The 20,548-nt window shown below is 38.1% G+C and overlaps 1 protein-coding gene across 3 annotated transcripts in view; it reads right to left on the minus strand.

Moving 5' to 3' along the window:
• PAPSS1 (3'-phosphoadenosine 5'-phosphosulfate synthase 1) overlaps positions 1-20,548 on the minus strand; it is a 106,569-nt gene that overhangs the window by 42,188 nt on the left and 43,833 nt on the right. For all 3 annotated transcript variants that reach the window (NM_005443.5, XM_011532401.2, XM_011532400.3), the window contains exons 6-7: positions 4,106-4,219; positions 1,043-1,154 (exon numbers count right to left, since the gene is read on the minus strand). In NM_005443.5, coding sequence (NP_005434.4) covers positions 1,043-1,154; positions 4,106-4,219 — 226 coding nt within the window. The remainder of the gene's footprint in view (positions 1-1,042; positions 1,155-4,105; positions 4,220-20,548) is intronic.

Raw genomic sequence — 20,548 nt, forward strand, 5'->3', positions numbered from 1 at the left:
CAAAATGCATTATTTAATCCTTATGTTCTTGTGATAAAGTTTCTTGAGAAGAATGATTAGGAATTATGTTTTCTAATATCTATTTCACCACCCAGTTAAAATAAGTCACAAAACAAAAAACTTGGTAGCAATTATAGTAGGGTTCTGTGACATTTAAAAATATTTTCATAAGGTAGTAAATTAATCTTACCAACAATATACAACACAAAATTAAAGGCTGCTGCATTATAATGATTATATGTTGGACATCATTTTTTATTTATTTATTTGTTTTTTTGAGACAGAGTCTCATCCTTTCGCCCAGGCTAGAGTATAGTGGTGCCATGATCTTGGCTCACCACACCCTCCACTTCCTAGGTTCAAGCGATTCTCCTGCCTCAGCCTCCCGAGTAGCTGGGATTAGAGGCACACACCACCACACCTAGCTAAGTTTTGTATTCTTAGTAGAGATGGGGTTTCACCATGTTGGCCAAGTTGGTCTTGAACTCCTGACCTCAGGTGATCCACTTCCCTCAGCCTCCCAAAGTGCTGAGATTACAGGCGTGAGCCACTGCGCCTGGCCAACATCAATTTCTTTGACAATTTTTTGTTAATGTTTTAAAAGAATAGGAAGGACCACATTTTTAGCCACATATTTCAGAATTCCTTAACTAAGACTCCACAATTCCTCATTAGAAAGCTCAAGCATGGGCTTCAGTACTGCAAAACGCAGCACGTACATGCCCTGGGTGGGAAGCAGCTTTCCACAGTGATCAGGCAAAAACAGCACAGAATAACTGTATGTGTTTTACAATCCATCCTCAGCCCTGATTCCCAGATTTTCCCTCTCTCTTTGCAATAAATAAGAGTCAGGACACGGAAAAACGAAAATGAGATCTCATGATTCACTTAAATAAAGTGTTCGGTACTGATATAACTTAGTCTTATAATGCTACCTCTATTAAGACGTTACCCTACTACTTTTTGTAAACAGTGACAAATCTCTGCAACTATGTAATTTCTCTTCCACATACAATATAATTTTGAATGTAAAATGTCTTACCATCCAGAAGACAATCAAAATGAAGGCACTGCAAGTACTCCCTCTCTCTCATAAAGCCATTCAATGGGGTTGCCCAACCTTCTGCCAAAACCTGCACCCACTGCATATCCACCTAGTAAATTTGAAAGTAAAGCAAAATTTTCTATTGCATGTATATATGAGCAAAAGCAGTGATGACCTTTAGGAATTTAATTTTGAAAGCAATGGAAACAAACAGTGTAAGGATGAGTATAGATTATACCAAACTAACAAAGAATAAGGGCACTAGGAAAATATTTCCTTCTCCTATTAAATTTAAATAACATTAGGCCTCCAAGTATTTCTAATAAAGACAGCCTCTCCTAAACTAGTGGTTCTCAAACTTTACCTCAAACCCCTGGAAAGCTTGCTAAAATGAGACTGCTTCATCTGCAGAGTTTCAAATTCAGTCAGTTTGCTGTGGGGCCCATGAATCTGTATTTCTAAAATGTTCCCAGAAAATGATAACAGTGATGATCTAATACTTTGATAACCACTCTCCTTAACCAAGAGAAACTTTACGGCCAGAGGAGGTGGCTCACGCCTGAAATTCCAGCACTTTGGAGGCCAAAACAAAGCAGGCAGATCACCTGACCTCAGGAGCTCAAGACCAGCCTGGCCAACATGGTGAAACCCAGTCTCTACTAAAAATACAAAAAATTAGCCAGATGTGGTGGCGCATTCCTGTAGTCCCAGCTACAGGAGGCTGAGGCATGAGGATTGCTTGGGCCAGGAATCGCTTGAGCCCAGGAGGCAGAGGTTGCAGTGAACTGAGATCATGCCACTGCACTCCAGCCTGGCAGCCTGGGCAGTAGAGTGAGACCATGTCTCAAAAAAAAAAAAAGAAGTCATTGGGAGACAAGGAAACTCAAATGACCAATAAATGTATTGAAAAAATGGTTATTCTCATAAATCATCAGGGAAATGTAAAATGATGGCATAATCATTTCATAGAGAAGACTTCACCTTTATCTGTAAAGCTGCATTTTATCTGACAGTTTGGTACCTTTACAGTGCACCCAAGCACACAGCTTATGGTCTCCAAAAAGGAACTAGGGCTGGCTGGAGAAAAGGCTGAATCCAATCATAGGGCTAGAAGGTATAAGGTGAGCCTGGAACATCTTGCTGAGCCAGGAAGCAAGGAATCTTTCCAAGATTAACAAAATCTTGCTGGAAAGACACAGGAATCACCCCACTGGCCAGCTAAGACCATTTAAACTTCAAAAGGAAAATACTGGCTGAGGTCACTTGATACACAATAAATAAGAAGAGCCTTGGTCCATCAAGTGACTCACAAAAAAAGTGACCATAAAGTACTGTATTCTAAAAAAAAAAGGTGTATAGAATTAAGTACCTTCTGTTCTGTGGTCTTGTTAGGAAAAAAAAAAAAAAAGGGAAGCCACTGCACTCCAGCCTGGGCAACACAGCGAGACTCCATTTAAAAAAAAAAAAAAAGAAAGGAAGAAACATTAAATAAAATATTTTCCAAGAAAAGTCTCTTACCCATGACAGAGTACTCTTCATTTTACAAAGACTATTATTTCTTGAACTTTGAGATTTCTAGCATATCCCATTAGAACGTCAAAGGACCGATGAACAATGTACTTATCGTTAATGTAAGCTGGATATGCTCATTTTTTAACTAAGCATACAGCAGTGGCTCTCCAATGAGAAAGATAAAGCACCTGGCTGAGTGGAGTACAGTAAAATGCAGCCTACTATTTATTCCCAGAGTATGTTTGCCAATGTGTTCCACTGCAAAATCAATTCACAGGAAAAAAAATTGGATTCATGAAGAAATTTTTTTTTTTCCAAAACCTTTGATGGTGGCTACTACTTGTCTCTACTGGAATTCAATTCTAGATGGTATCTGTTAGGGATTGAATGTCTGTGTCCTCTCAAAATTCCTATACTGAAGGCCTAACCCCAATGCTACCATACTTAGAAATAGGCATGTGAGGAGGTGCAAAGAATAGCAGTGTGCCTTCCAGATGCTCTGCCAATTGAAGAAATTTGAAAACCAATGAATTGAAAATACATTCCATTTAGAAAAAGCTACTGTCTTTCTGGATTCTAGAATCTGACATGTAAATTCATAGTCATTCATTCTCATTCTTCTTCTCTCTGCCTTTGTCTGCGTGTATTCACTCCATGCAGTCTGTAAGCAACAAATTCTGTTGTTCTTATGTAACAGTTCACTTCCTGAGCTGCTCTGCTCTGTAGTTCTCCCTTCTTGTCACTCCCTGGCATGTCTTGGTTTCTGGTCAGAGACCCAATCACACACAGAAAGTGTACCAATATAATTTACTCCCATCAGGGATTTGGTAACAACTTAAAGAGTCTTTCATCAAGCCTAGAAGTTTTGTTTTGTTTTCCTTTCTCCTTACTTTCAGATGTGGCACTTCCTTGGGTATTTTGGATTTTTACTATATTAAAAGAAAGGATGGGGAATCTAACTTCTAGTCCAAATACTTATTTTTAATCTCCCTTTTTTTAAAGTATACATAAATGATACAACTTAAAATTCTCTAAGACTCGAAAATGATAAATTATAATTTCCATTCTCATCATGCTTAACTACGCAGTTGTATTGGGAAAGACAGCTAATGATATCATCAGAGCTAAGATACACAATAAAATTATTCTTAACAATATAAGACAGAGAGAGTCAAGTTTTGGCAAGGGATTAGAAAACATGTCTGAAGGGGAGAATGTTTACTTAATTACTATGGATTAGTATTCCTTGACCTTTTAGAACCCATTATTTCTGATAAGCCTAAGGATCTCATGTAATATTTGTTCTTTGATAGTTCAAAATAAATAAGTATTATTACTCAAAGCAAATCAAAGCCATGGTAACTTGGGAACATGGTTGCACAAATTAAACACATTCCCCATCCTTAGAAATTGTGACATATACCACAACATCTTTGCCCCCCCAGCTAATACCACCCCTGGCCTCAAATACTGCTATAAGTCACAAATTTAACAAACTACTGTATATAAGGCTGTATCACTTAGTGTGAAAAGCAACGAAGAACTTACTTTATTAATTTTCAGTGCTGGTAATGTTTCCGCATCTGTTTTTGCCAAATGAAGTTTATTTTCTGGCACATATAGTTCTTTTACTTCATAAGATGCATCCACAGGTACAATATCCTATATAACAACAGGAGTACAATTTAAATGTTTGATTCAAGAATTTAGAGTTCACCAAAGGGTATCTTAATGAAGAAAATCTCTCAAAATAAAACCAAAAAGTAGCATAAAAGAAGGCTGTGAGTGCTATGTTCCCCTCAACCAATACTCTCAAGCAGATAGTATCCCACATCCAAGAAGTAATTAAGCCCAATGTCCCATTATCTAGTGGGAAAGAATAAATTCCTAAAATATACTACATATGTCAAAGTCAGGCAACTACAAATGAGAGGTGGCCTCAAATAAGAGGTAACAACAAAAAGAATTTGGAAACAAGCAAACAAAAACCACCTGAACCATCATCCTTATTATCTTTACCATATCACGAAACCATTTTATTCCAGCTTTTATATATACCTTTATCACCACTGTCAGGAAAGCCACCTTTTACCCAAGCAACACGGTATTCTAGAATGTCAGCTTTACTTCCACCACTGTGGTTTGAAAATCAGAACTTTTTGATCCCACACGAAATGCAGCCTGGAATTTTTATCCAAGCTCCATATACTCATTTATAAAACACTGGGATGGTGTTTTTCCCCATTTATACTACAAGTACATATTTGTGATAACAACATAACCATTTACATACTGCTCATTAGGAGCTCTTTACAAGGCTTGTTCACAACACTTGACATATCCCTAAGAATAATTACTAAATGTGTTTAATCACTTTAATTTGTTTTAAGCCAAATCTGTCAGGTAACCTCTACAACCATGCAAAATTGGCACTGATGGAGGGCTTTTCATACATGTGTCCAATACTTTGTTATTCAAAATAAAGTAATTCTCAAAAGATTGAGAAGATAAGCCAGACTGGGAGAAAAATACACTCAAAAGTTATATCTTTAGATAAATGTTATCCAAAAATATACAAAATAAACAATTAAAACTCACCAATAAGAAAATGAACCCAATTTTAAAAATGGGCAAAAGACCTGAATAGACATCTCATCAAAGAAGACACATAGATTATAAATAAGCATATGAAAAGATGTTCAACATCATATGTCATTAGGAAATTGCAAATCAAAACAAGATAGCACAACATACCTATCAGGATAGCCAAAATCCGAAACACTGACAACATCTAATGTTGCCAAAGATGTGGAGCAATAGGAACCCTCATTCATAGCTGGTGGGGATGCAAAATGGTACAGCTACTTTGGAAAACATTTTGCCAGTTTGTTACAAAACTAAACATACTCTTATCAGCAATTTCACTCCTTCATATTCACCCCAATGAGTTGAAAACGTACCTCCACTCAAAAACCTGCACAGGGTGTTTAAAGCAGCTCTATTCAGAATTGCCAAAAGTTGACAGCCACAATGTGTCTTTAGTAGGTGAATAAACAAACTGTAGAACATCTAGACAATGCTATATTAGTCAACTCTAAGAAGAAATGAGCTCCATGAAAACATGGAAGAACCTTAAGTGAGAACTGCTAAGTGAAAATAGCCAATCTGAAAAGGGTACAGACTATATGATTCCAACTACATGATGCCAATTTTGCTGTGAATCTGAAACTTCTCTAAAAAAAAGTCTGTTTTTTTAAAACAATACAAAACAACAAAAAATGTAATTCAAGATGAAAGAACTGGATTTTTAAGGACACTCTCCACTATTTTTCCTGAGGAATAGATGACCTCTAGAAAGAAACTTCAATTTATATTTGGTCTTACATGACATGTTCAGTAGAAAAAAAAGGCAGATATGTCAATCAAAGCCAGATGACTTCATGAAAGACCTAGGTGCTACCACTCAATCAATCAACAACTATGGGTTCTGAAAATCTAAGAACTATTCTCTTACATTTCTCCTACTTTCTCACACACCCTGTTTCCTCAAAGATGGAACAAGAGACAGTTCAGCAATGGCTAAATATGTGCCAAAATCAGGCTCCTCCTACTGGTAAATTCAAAGTCTCTGACCTTTCTAATAATTAAAAAAATAAATAAATAAACAAGAAGAATAAACATCAAGGAAAAGAAAACGTAATATTAAAAATCAAAAGACAGACAAGAAATAAACACCGCTAGCTACAACAGCAAATTCAGCCAGCTGCGCTGCTCTTGGGGTGTAGACATGAACGGCACTTTCTGGAAGCCTCTTGTCCCTCTAGGGTCTCACTGTTCATAGGAGGAAAGCAGAAAAGTGTGTGAGGCACAAACCCGGCACAGCATTAGACACTTTGTATACCTTCCAAATCTTCTGCAATTAAGCTTCCAGCAGGCACCCATAGCCAAAAGCTATCTATTGTGTTTACTGAGGGTAAATAATACAGGAGGGCATTAAAAAATAATGGTGAAGGAAGAAAGCTCCACCAGCTGCTTCTATGTTCTCTCTGTAGATGCACTAATGGGGCAGATTATTTCTAATGAACCCACACTAAAGAGGGCATATCTTAAATTTTGCCAAGGAGTTCAAAGCAGTGACAACTAAATATACATAGTTTATACATAATACCAGGAGGGGAAACCACATATAGAAAAAAAAAAAAGGACTCTTCCTTAAATCTAGCATGAGATATAGCTTATCTTCCAACTCCAGAATTATTTTAATATATGTATTTTAAATTATAAAATAGCAGTAAAAAGAATCTGGGAGATTCTCTTTATGAGAAAACCAAATCACCCTGTATCCCAGATATGGTTATCACTGTCATTTTTCTGTCTTCCCTTTGATCTGGTCTCCATCCATAGGTACATTACACGACAAATGATAGTTTAGCAGTCTGTGCAAAGCCTATTACTTCATCAAGTAGAAAATAAAAGTTCAGAGTCAATTTTTCCTGGAAGGACAATACGATGTGCATTAAGTGAACTACACATACATTTTGTATGTTCAATTAGCTTCTTCGATATGTAAAGCCTCCAAAGATGCCTTGAGGCATACAGATTCTTTGCAGCTACAAAGTAAAGAATTGAAATCTTCTATGCTAGGGGGAGAAAACACTAAACATAACAAGTTACACAAAAAGTCAGGCACTCATTAGGACTTCTGTGAGGAAGAGTATGATACACTTTCACGAGACACTTAAAATTAAATATTTACATAATCACAAAGCTTTAGGGGCATAACATCTTCAAAACCAACGAGATACAAAAAGCAACAGGAGTCTATAGGTCAGTTATTTCCAATGTTCTTATCACTAAGAATATGAAGTAAAAAAAGAGGGCAAAGTCTTTTTATATTTAAGATCTGAGTTCCAATTCTAACAGTGCAATCTTGAGCATCTTACAACGTGTCTCCCCAGTTGTTTAAAAAAAAGTACAAAAAAGATACACACATATATGTTACAGGGCTGTTTTGACAAACTAGTGACTTAAAGTACCTGAAGAGTGGAGGATAATATTAGTGAGAACTGACTATAACACCACTCATTGTTCTAAGAGCTTCATGTGAATTTTAGTCCATTAATCTTCACACAGTCCTACTAATGAAGGCAGAAGAAACTACTGCTATCCCTTCTTTACAGAGGAAATCGAGGCCTAAGAGAGGTCAACAACTTGACCCAAATCCCTGCAATACTGTCTTTCAATGGACTTAACATAAAAAGAATACTCAGTAATTAGAGTATGCTTGCTACATGCCAGGAACTGTTTAAGCACTCTGCATGTATCAACTCATAGAATCCTCTGCACAATCCTGAGGCAGGCACTTTAATTATTTCCCATTTCATAGATGAGCGAATTGAAGTCCAAGAAATTAGACTATATCTTCCAAGGTCATATAGTTGAGAAGTATTGAAAACTAAGGTATTAAGTATTTTGTCACACAAATTTTTCTTATTTTCATGATTTTATTAAACATAATTCCCAAGTTTTTAGTCAGCATGTGATCTTCCAATGCGTTGGTAAGGTTCTAGAGAAAAATAAAAGATATTCAGCATTTCAGTTGAGCCTAAATAGTTCTATTAAAGACAAGTAAGCAATTTGCAACCAACTGTTCCAAACCCTGCCACTGTGAATAAATCATGAGCCTCCATTTCCAATGCTGAGGATCCCTTAGCAGGATATGCAGTCTGGGAACAAATGACAAAGGACTCCAGAGAAGAGAAGAATCTCATTCTCAACTTCAATGGTAAGAAAAACTCTATATAAAGCTTTCTTTGCCATCTCTGAAATGTATATTATTGTAAGGATGGGATATCTTTTTGTATGCTGTGATGGGGCTTGACTACTCTCCCCCAGGTTTACTGCTGAAAATTGTCACAATCCTAGAGAAGCAGAAGAAAGCATGCAGCAGACACATCTTCTGATTTTTACTGGCTACAACAAGGCATGTTTAGCTGGTTTCCTAATCCAGCATCCCTAGTTCAGCTCACAAAGACTGAAGACCAGGAGCAGTGTGCACAGTCCACTGCAATGCTCCAGGCACAGGGCTGGGACTGTTCTCTTCCCTCCACCCTGGAGACCCCACAACACTGAGGGCACACTCAGGTGCATCTCTGCTTCCTCTGAAGAGATGGTCCAAATAAGAACTCTGCACTAACGAATGTTTCTATAGATGATGTCTACCATTTCCTTCCAACCATATCCCCAAGTTAAAAAAAAAAAACTGTACAAATAATTTGTGATCAAATCTGTCTCCAAGGTAACTAGTTTGAACATGTAAAGGGCAATATCTATACTGTAAGCCCCATCAAATTACTGAAATATTTTGTGCACTAATAAAGTTATTCATAATTGAGCATAATTTTATCAATGTGCTACTTTACATGTATTAACAAAGGCTATAACCACTTTCTTTTCAAGAAGGGAAATTTTTTCATATTTTGTTTTTGAGTCAAAATAACTTTTTCATTAGAAGCATTTCATAAAACTCTTCCCTCTTCAAAATTCACACCCAACAATATTTTTAAATGGATTTTAGCCTCACAACTTCAATACAAAATTCTTCTGATACCTAACCAATGCCAAAATAAACATTCGAAAGGTTGCTACTGTTTTTCTCTTCTAAAAAAGATACAGAGAGTGAATGTTTTGGGAATTAATGCAAAAATAGCATGAATCAAGAGGAACTGGGAGCATCTGCTCAGTCTGTGGAAATGAGTTATACACAGATTCTATGTGTAAAGACAAAAGGACTCAGTCTCTTACAGGAATATAAAAAGAATCTTAAACATGCAGATGCTGCCAGCTTCTAGCACATTCCAGTGACAAATCTCAGTTTCCAAAACCACTACTAAACATCTGAAAGGAGCAAAACCACCTCAAAGTGACACAAGATATCTGGACAACAGAAAGTTGGTCCCTGCCACATGAGCTATCCACTTTATTTGGGATTCATTAGGATTTCCACAGACACAGCTATTAGAAACAACGTGCTCTTCTTCAATTTGTACATATAAAACCCTTTGCTTCATGAAATGTCCTTTAAAACACAAAGAGATCACAAGCCAGGCCAGGAAAAAGTCTGCACACACCTGGACATCTCACCTCCAATCTGAAAGGCTCCAGTCACCCAGCACTGAAGGGTAAAGGGGGCTCAGGGAGGCCCTAGGAGTCCTCCTGAGCAGGGGATCAGTAAATGACCCACACTCTACTATTAATGAGAGGTGAATTCCGTAACCTGTAAGTCTAGAGATATTATAAATTTATAAGTATTAATTTAATTTTAAAATGTAACACGGGGTACCCAGAACGTTGTTTGACTTTGACAGTCTAACATCTAACATATGTTGTATCCAAAAACAGACAACTGTTTTTGTTTTTACCTGGACACTGGCAGGCAGGGCAAACAACATGCGCTACATGAAAGTGGTAGCTCTCGCCTCTCATTTTAATCTTCCTAAAGAACTCTGAACATGTTAATACAATGATTCCACATTTTAAGTTTTCCTTTAAATACTTTCTGTACTTTTTTCTTGAGCCAAATCTGCTCAACAGATTTGAACACAAGGGCACATTCATATTTTTATGTAACTATTAAATTTCTGTTATCTAAACTACATGCATCCAAAGCATGAACACCAAACGACATTCCGGCAACACTTTAAAACTGAGCTGCAAAGTCTGGCTTTTATGTGTAGCATAAAACCCATTTAGAGCACTAAACCACCATTTCTTAAAAAGACAAACCTTTAAATAATTTATAGCACTAGTAAATCTAGAGTTCCTGGTAGATTTTAAAACAGTATTTAAAATATCACTTTAGATTAAAACCAGCAGCAAGAAGTCTACTTCCTTATGTCATAACAAGCCAAGTTAAAATGCAATACTAGCAGGCCATCTAGTGACCAATTTAGGGTCTAGGAAAATAAAAAAATCCTGATTTGTTAGTGTTTTCTATTTTCTTAAATACATACCAAACAAAGAAAATGAAGATGCTGTGAGAAAACGCTAAGAAATGCAGTCTTTATATGAATGACCACTTTATCTATCCTGATTATATTACATAGCCACAGTGAAAGAGAAGGCAACCCAGAAAATGACAGAGAATTCTTAACTTTATGTAAAGTACCCATGGTAACCAAAGGACCCATCATCCTATATTACCCGTTGTACAGCATACTAAAAACATTTTTCTTGGACAATGAAATAAATACTGTATCTTACTGAAGACCATTAAACAATTCCAGGTACAATTCACTTCAGAAGAGTCTCTCCAAAGGAATACAGAGGAACAGATAAAAGCAAACTCTACTTACCACTATTTTTCCATGAAGACAGTGCTTTTCAAACACCTTCATTCTCTGGGAAGTCCCAGACCATAGTACTTTCTTCTCTCTAATAAAAACTGGTATACAATTGGAAATACATACAGTGTTTGGTCTTTGTCCTCAGTTCTTGGCACAGAGCTCCTAACACCCTTGAAATCCCCTAAGTGATCAATGTGCCTTTGGAGTGCTGAGGAGAGGACTCTTGGCTGAAGGGCTCCTAGACAGCTTCATGATGGGAACTGGGACCAGAAAGTCCAAGTCACCATCACAGGGTTGCAACTTTCAGCCTCACTCTACTCCCCTGACCTCTGGGGAGCAGAAAGGCATTAGAGAGATTGAGTTCAATCACCAATGGCCAATGATTTAATCAAATGTGCGACGTAAAGCCTACATAAAAACTTCTAAATGATGGGGTTCAGAGAGCTTCCCAGTTGGTGAGCACACGGAGGTACTGGGGGCTGGGGGTTGAAGTTCATAGAGAAAGCACGGAAGCTCTGCCACCCCTTCCCTGCACATCTCTTCCATCTGGCTGTTACTGAGTCTATAAGAAACTGGAAGTAGCAAATAAAGCACTTTACTGAGTTCTGTGAGTTGTCCTAGCCAATGATCAAACCTGGTGTGGGGACAGGGTAGGGAGGTGGGAAACCTTGGATTTATAATCAGCCAGGCAAGAAAGTGGGTAGCCTGGGCACCCCATTTGGGCTGGCGTCTAAAACAGGGCAGTGTATAGGAGTGAGCCCTTAACCTGTGAGGTCTGAACTAACTCCACATAGCTAGGGTCAAAATTAAATTGAATCACTGGATACCAGATGATATCAGAGATCAAACAAAAAACTGGTTATTGTGAGAAAAAAAGTCTTCAAAAGTATTACAAAACTAAGCTTGAAGAGGGGATAAAATTTACTTAGTTTATTTTAGAAATAAAGTTGTCATTATATATAGTATAACCTTTTACCACTCCAATTCAGGTTTTAGGACTTACATAAATCATAATTCATTAGGCAAAATGTGCCTCTTTCCAAGGTAAATTAGATAACCTACAAACACTATTCTTATTGCACTTACATAGAACAAGCATTTCACACTAGCTGGACACAGGTATGAGCAGTTTATTTCTTTAATAAACATTCTTTCCAACCCAGATAGTGTTGTCTTTGATCTGCTCAAGTATTTTAAAAGTATTCAAGAAATAATAAATCTTTCTAAGGTCAATGAAATGCCCATGCCTCTCCCATTTCTTAATCCCAACTACAGTTAGGGAACAACTGATCAAGGAATGTGAAAGAGAGTCAGAGAAAAGATTCATATTTCAGAAATAAACTAGAAATGGAAAGAATCTAAATACTAGTAAAGGCAGAGTAGTAGAAACATTGAGTGTGTAGGCTGCAGAATCAATCAGAACTGTGTGCAAACCTCTCCCTAACTGAACTATCTGGGACAAATAACTTCACCTCTGGAATCTGTTTCCTTATCAGCAAAATGAAGATAATTATAAATACTTCTCAATTTCAATGTAAATTAGATGCAATAATGCCACTGCAGTACCTAACACAGGGCCTAGCACACAGTAAGAGTTCAACTGGTAAGTTACTGTTGATGGTCTCCATCTCTGCCTGTGATGGTTAATACTGTGTGTCAACTTGATTGGATGGAAAGGATACAAAGCATTGATCCTGGGTGCATCTGTGAGGGCGTTGCCAAAGGAGATTAACATTTGAGTCAGTGGGCTAGGAAACCCAGACCCATTCTTAATCTGGGTAGGCACCATCTAATCAACTACAAGCATCACTAGAATATAAGCAGGCAGGAAAATGTGAAAAGAGAGACTGGCCTAGCCTCCCAGCCTACATCTTTCTCCGGTGCTGGATGCTTCCTGCCCTCGAACATCAGACTCCAAGTTCTTCAGTTTTGGAACTCAGACTGGCTCTCCTGGATCCTCAGCCTGCAGATGGCCAACTGTGGGACCTTGTGATCATGCAAGTTAATACTTAATAAACTCATATATATATAAAATATATATACACACACACATATATATGTACGTATATTCCATTAGTTCTGTCCCTCTAGAGAACCCTAATATACTGCCCATGGCATTCGCTTTCAGCACACACATTTATATATTCTTTTACATAATGCTGGTTAATGTAGGACCCCTAACCTTCACCTCCCTACTCCAAACACATACTCTAAAGCTACATAAATTTGGTTATTATTCCTTGCTTTAAAGCAACATGGTACTTGATATATTCATCCCCTTCACCTCCCAATCTATATTTAGATTGTACTATGTGTCCTCCCATAGCCCACCTTTGGAAAACCTAACAAATGTCTTTGTGATAACAATGAAGTTAAATGAACTGAATTTGCTACCCCTGGATAGAGGGAGTTTGATATGAAAAGTACACATTATAGCAAGTCACTTTGCAATGAAGTACAGTGGGCAAATGCACAACTGGCATTTCTAAGGATGAACTTTGAGCTGAATGTCAGGTATTCACTGGTTTCTCCATGTGCCCTAATGCCCACTGGGATTCAACTTAGTGAGAAAAACAACCAAAAGAAAATAAAAGACAGATATAGTTGTGTGTCTATGTGTATTTCTTCCTCAATTGCATTTTTAAATTCTACATCATAGTATAAAAGAAGAGAAATAAATGAATCTATATATGCTCATTCTAGTCTATACACTATAAACAAAATAACAGTGGTGAAGACCAAAAATTAAGGTCCATGAGGCTGGAATGTTTATTGCTTAATTCACTGCCACATCCGCAGTGTCCACAAAAGTGCCTACCACATATAGCATTAACTATCTGTTAAATTAACTAAAAAGATCAACTAAGTACAACAGAGAAATATGCGTGCTTTCATTGGGAAGTGAAGTCATTTATTCAGAAAAGCATGTAACAAATATTGAAAAGGAGGGTGATACCAAAAGAAAGCTATCAAATTAAGGAGGCATTTGCATTTCTTCTTTTGTCACCACCCACCTTTAAGATAAAAATTAACAGTTTTTCAAAAGAAAATTTCTCTCTCCTAAATGAACATAACCAGAATCCCTTTCTGGATGTAGATTTAATTACATCTCACTTAAGTGTAAGGAGAACACTCCTGAAAGTAAAAGCCAGAGGTATAAGAAAATTACTGAAATTCTAGATGCAGAATCCAACATGTCCATGAACAAGTTTCTTCATTTCTCTGAAATACTTCAAAGGTTTACTGTATGAATAAAATCAAACAACATATGAAAAGAGCTTAGCACAAGGACCACTTGGAAAACTACCACAGTAATTCAGGTGAGAGACAGTTGGAAGCTAAATTAGGAAAAAAGGTCACTTTCCTCCAATTGAAATAAACAGAACAAGTTATTTTAAAAGACAACATACTATAAATATGTCCCTTATAATAAGGACTCAGCAAATGTTAATTTCTTATCTATCCTTCTTTTTCAAGGATAATATCCTTGAATGAAACTGTCCAATCATCAGATTGTCTAGCAAGCATAATACAGATTAGTATCCATATACAAGGAAGAGCAATTAGCATAGTCATTAATTAGGTACAAATAAATTAGGAGGAAGGCATTAACTAAGACTACAGAGATAAGACAAGCAATAGCACCAAAGAAAGAAAGAAAATACTACGGTGAACTTCATAAGGACAATAAATAAGAAAATATGCAGCATGGAACCAAACTATGAAGAACTGTGAACACAAATCATCTTTCCTCTTTATTTGATTTTTATTGATGCATTTTATTTTATTTATTTTTTATTTCAGACAGGGTCTCACTCTGTCATCCAGGCTGGAGGGCAGTGGCAGAATCATAGCTCTCTGCAGCCTCAAACTCCTGGGCTCAAGAGATCCTCGTGCCTCTGCCTCCTGAGTATCTGGGATGTGCCACCACACCTGACTACTTTTTAAAAAAAATTTTTGGAGACAAGGACAGGATCTCACTATGTTGCCCAGGCTGGTCTTGAACTCCTGGCCTCAAGCAATCTTCCTGCTTCAGTTTCCCAAAGTGCTGGGATTACAAGTGTGAACCACCACACCTGGCATATGCCAGGTATAAATCATCTCAATTCTATAAACAATGGAAAAATCAGTAAGTGTTTTAGAGCGAAAAAAAGGAAATGCTTAGACTACACTTTAGAAAGATTACTTTGTGAATATTATAGGACAGACTAAAGGGCACACAGAACTGGAGTTGTGGTAACCAGTTAGGGGAATATGGGATAGTGTGATCCTAAAATCATACAGTGTCAATTTACCTTCAGTTTTTAACCATCAGGGAATAAAAGCAAGATGCAAAGTCCTGTGCATCATAAATACCACAGGAATCTGTATTTTCATTATACAGAATTATAGTTAAAAACCAACTGAACCCTGAATACAGTGCGGAATCCTGGACTGAATCCTGGAACAGGAAAAACATTAGTGAAAAAATAAGTGAAGAGCTGCAAAATTTTCTCAAAATCAAGTTTTTTTTTTTCAAGAAAAACTTAAAATTATCTTCCTCCCTGAAGAAAAAAAAAGAGCCTACACGTAGGAAAAGTGTCAAACCCAAAGGACACTATTCTAAATAGGGCCCCAAAGAAGTGATTATGAATTTAAAGAGAGAAAGACGGGAAGAAGGTGGGAGAAACCTGTGGCACCCAAAGCAAATTAAGCTTAATAATCCCATATACATGTCTGAAGTATCTGGAATTTATAGTCAAAGATTAATAAGCCCCATAAAATTATATAAAATGGTATCTATTAAATATGTGCATTTTTCTGAGATCTTATAAAACACTTATGAATCACTAACAAGATATAAAAAAATCAAAACAAATAATAAAACTGTACAGTCATCCCTCAGTATCTGAGAGGAATTGGTTCCAGGACTCCTTGAGGACACCAAAATCCACAGACGCTCAAGTGATATAAAATGGCATAGCATTTGCATACAATCTACACACATCTTCCCATACACTTCATATCATCTCTGGATTACATATAATACCTAATACAATGTAAATGTTATATAAGTATATAATTGTATTCTTTTTAAAATTGTATTCTTTTTCATTGTTGTATTAATTTTCCTGAATATTCTCAATCCATGGTTGTTTGTATCCACAAATGTGGAACCCACAGATATAGAACTCCAGATACAGAGGGCCAACTTTCTAACGCTGATATGGCAAATTTCAAGTTAAAAAAAAGATAGATTCAGTATACAAAAAACTCAAACAAAACTACAATCAAAACGAAAAGGAAAAATACTAGAACTATAGTTCCAATAAAAATGAGATGGAGGTGGGTGGTGCCAAGATGGCCGAATAGGAACAGCTCCAGTCTACAGCTCCCAGTGTGAGCGACGCAGAAGACGGGTGATTTCTGCATTTCCAACTGAGGCACCGGGCGCATCTCACTGGGGAGTGTCAGAAAGTGGGTGCAGGACAGTGGGTGCAGCGCACCAAGCATGAGATGAAGCAGGGCGAGGCATCGCCTCACCCAGGAAGCGCAAGGGGTCAGGGAATTCCCTTTTCTAGTCAAAGAAAGGGGTGACACACGGCACCTGGAAAATCAGGTCACTCCCACCCTAATGCCGCACTTTTCCAACGGTCTTAGCAAACAGCACACCAGGAGAATTATATCCCGTGCCAGGCTCGGAGGGTCCTATGCCCACGGAGCCTCGCTCATTGCTAGCACAGCAGTCTGAGATCAAACTGCAAGGTGGCAGTGAGGCTGGGGGAGGGGTGCCCACCACTGCCAAGGATTGAGTAGGTAAACAAAGTGGCCTGGAAGCTGGAACTTGGTGGAGCCCACCACAGCTCAAGGAGGCCTGCCTGCCTCTGTAGACTCCACCTCTGGGGGCAGGGCATAGCCAAACAAAAGGCAGCAGAAACCTCTGCAGACTTAAACGTCCCTGTCTGACAGCTTTGAAGAGAGTAGTGGTTCTCCCAGCATGCAGCTGGAGATCTGAGAACTGACAGACTGCCTCAAGTGGGTCCCTGACCCCCAAGCCTAACTGGGAGGCACCCCCCAGTAGGGGCAGACTGACACCTCACACAGCCAGGTACTCCTCTGAGAAAAAACTTCCAGAGGAACGATCAGGCAGCAACATTTACTGCTCACCAATATCCGCTGTTCTGCAGCCTCCGCTGCTGATACCCAGGCAAACAGGGTCTGGAGTGGACCTCCAGCAAACTCCAACAGACCTGCAGCTGAGGGTCCTGACTGTTAGAAGGAAAACTAACAAACAGAAAGGACATCCACACCAAAACCCCATCTGTACGTCACCATCATCAAAGACCAAAGGTAGATAAAACCACAAAGATGGGGAAAAAACAGAGCAGAAAAATTGGAAACTCTAAAAATCAGAGCACCTCTCCTCCTCCAAAGGAACGCAGCTCCTCAACAGCAGTGGAACAAAGCTGGACGGAGAATGACTTTGACGAGTTGAGAGAAGAAGGCTTCAGATGATCAAACTACTCTGACCTAAAGGAGGAAGTTCAAACCCATGGCAAAGAAGTTAAAAACCTTGAAAAAAAATTAGACAAATGGCTAACTAGAATAACCAATGCAGAGAAGTCCTTAAAGGACCTGATGGAGCTGAAAACCAAGGCATGAGAACTACGTGATGAATGCAGAAGCCTCAGTAGCCGATTCGATCAACTGGAAGAAAGGGTATCAGTGATGGAAGATTAAATGAATGAAATGAAGCGAGAAGAGAAGTTTAGAGAAAAAAAGAATAAAAAGAAATGAACAAAGCCTCCAAGAAATATGGGACTATGTGAAAAGACCAAATCTACTTCTGATTGGTGTAGCTGAAAGTGACAGGGAGAATGACACTCTGCAGGATATTATCCAGGAGAACTTCCCCAATCTAGCAAGGCAGGCCAACATTCAAATTCAGGAAATACAGAGAACACCACCAAGATACTCCTCCAGAAGAGCAACTCCAAGACACACAATTGTCAGATTCACCAAAGTTGAAATGAAGGAAAAAATGTTAAGGGCAGCCAGAGAGAAAGGTCGGGTTACCCAAAAAGGGAAGCCCATCAGACTAACAGCTGATCTCTCAGCAGAAGCTCTATAAGCCAGAAGAGAGTGGGGGCCAATATTCAACATTCTTAAAGAAAAGAATTTTCAACTCAGAATTTCATATGCAGCCAAACTAAGCTTCATAAGTGAAGGAGAAATAAAATCCTTAACAGACAAGCAAATGCTAAGAGATTTTGTCACCACCAGGCCTGCCCTAAAAGAGCTTCTGAAGGAAGCAGTAAACATAGAAAGGAACAACCGGTACCAGCCACTGCAAAAATGTGACAAATTGTAAAGACCGAAACCGCATCAACTAATGAGCAAAATAACCAGCTAACATCATAATGACAGGATCAAATTCACACATAACAATATTAGCCTTAAATGTAAATGGGCTAAATGCTCCAATTAAAAGACACAGACTGGCAAATTGGATAAAGAGTCAAGACCCATCAGTGTGCTGTATTCAGGAAACCCATCTCACGTGCAGAGACACACATAGGCTCAAATAAAGGGATGGAGGAAGATCTACCAAGCAAATGGAAAACAAAAAAAGGCAGGGGTTGCAATCCTAGTCTCTGATAAAACAGACTTGAAAACAACAAAGATCAAAAGAGACAAAGAAGGTCATTACATAATGGTAAAGGGATCAATTCAACAAGAAGAGCTAACTATCCTAAATATATATTCAACCAATACAGGAGCACCCAGATTCATAAAGTAAGTCCTTAGAGACCTAGAAAGAGACTTAGACTCCCACACAATAATAATGGGAGACTTTAACACCTCACTGTCAACATTAGACAGATCCACGAGACAGAAAGTTAAAAAGGATATCCAGGAATTGAACTCAGCTCTGCACCAAGCAGACCTAATAGACATCTACAGAACTCTCCACCCCAAATCAACAGAATATACATTATTCTCAGCACCACACCGCACTTACTCCAAAATGCACCACATAGTTGGAAGTAAAGCACTCCTCAGCAAATGTAAAAGAAAAGAAATTATAACAAACTGTCTCTCAGACCACAGTGCAATCAAACTAGAACTCAGGATTAAGAAACTCACTCAAAACCACTCAACTACATGGAAACTGAACAACCTGCTCCTGAACGACTATTGGGTACATAATGAAATGAAGGCAGAAATAAAGATGTTCTTTGAAACCAACGAGAACAAAGACACAACATACCAGAATCTCTGGGACACATTCAAAGCAGTGTGTAGAGAGAAATTTATAGCACTAAATGCCCACAAGGAAAAGCAGGAAAGATCTAAAATGGACACCCTAACATCGCAATTAAAAGAACTAGAGAAGCAAGAGCAAACACATTCAAAAGCTAGCAGAAGACAAGAAATAACTAAGATCAGAGCAGAACTGAAGGAAACAGAGACACAAAAAACTCTTCAAAAAAATCAATGAATCCAGCAGCTGATTTTTTGAAAAGATCAACAAAATTGATAGACCACTAACAAGACTAATAAAGAAGAAAGGAGAGAAGAATCAAATAGATGCAATAAAAAATGATAAAGGGGATATCACCCCCGATCCCACAGAAATACAAACTACCATCAGAGAATACTATCAACACCTCTACACAAATAAACTAGAAAATCTAGAAGAAATGGATAAATTCTTTGACACATACACCCTCCCAAGACTAAACCAGGAAGAAGTTGAATCTCTGAATAGACCAATAACAGGCTCTGAAATTGAGGCAATAATTAATAACTTACCAACCAAAAAAGTCCAGGACCAGATGGATTCACAGCCAAATTCTACCAGAGGTACAAGGAGGAGCTGGTAACATTCCTTCTGAAACTGTTCCAATCAATAGAAAAAGAGAGAATCCTCCCTAACTCATTTTATGAAGCCAGCATCATCCTGCTACCAAAGCCTGGCAGAGACACAGCAAAAAAAGAAAATTTTAGACCAATATCCCTGGTGAACATCGATGCAAAAATCCTCAATAAAATACTGGCAAACCGAATCCAGCAGCACATCAAAAAGCTTATCCACCATGATCAAGTCAGCTTCATCCCTGGGATGCAAGGCTGGTTCAACATACACAAATCAATAAACATAATCCAGCATATAAACAGAACCAAAGACAAAAACCATATGATTCTCTCAAGAGATGCAGAAAAGGCCTTTGACACAATTCAACAATGCGTCACGCTAAAACTCTCAATAAATTAGGTATTGATGGGACGTATCTCAAAATAATAAGAGCTATCTATGACAAACCCACAGCCAATATCATACTGAATGGGCAAAAACTGGAAGCATTCCCTTTGAAAACTGGCACAAGACAGGGATGCCCTCTCTCACCACTCCTATTCAACACAGTGTTGGAAGTTCTGGCCAGGGCAATCAGGCAGGAGAAGGAAATAAAGGGCATTCAATTAGGAAAAGAGGAAGTCAAATTGTCCCTGTTTGCAGATGACATGATTGTATATCTAGAAAACCCCATCGTCTCAGCCCAAAATCTCCTTAAGCTGACAGCCAACTTCAGCAAAGTCTCAGGATACAAAATCAATGTGCAAAAATCACAAGCATTCTTATACACCAATAACAGACAAACAG

Source organism: Homo sapiens, chromosome 4, assembly GCF_000001405.40.
Source record: "Homo sapiens chromosome 4, GRCh38.p14 Primary Assembly".
NCBI classification, from domain to species: domain Eukaryota; kingdom Metazoa; phylum Chordata; class Mammalia; order Primates; family Hominidae; genus Homo; species Homo sapiens.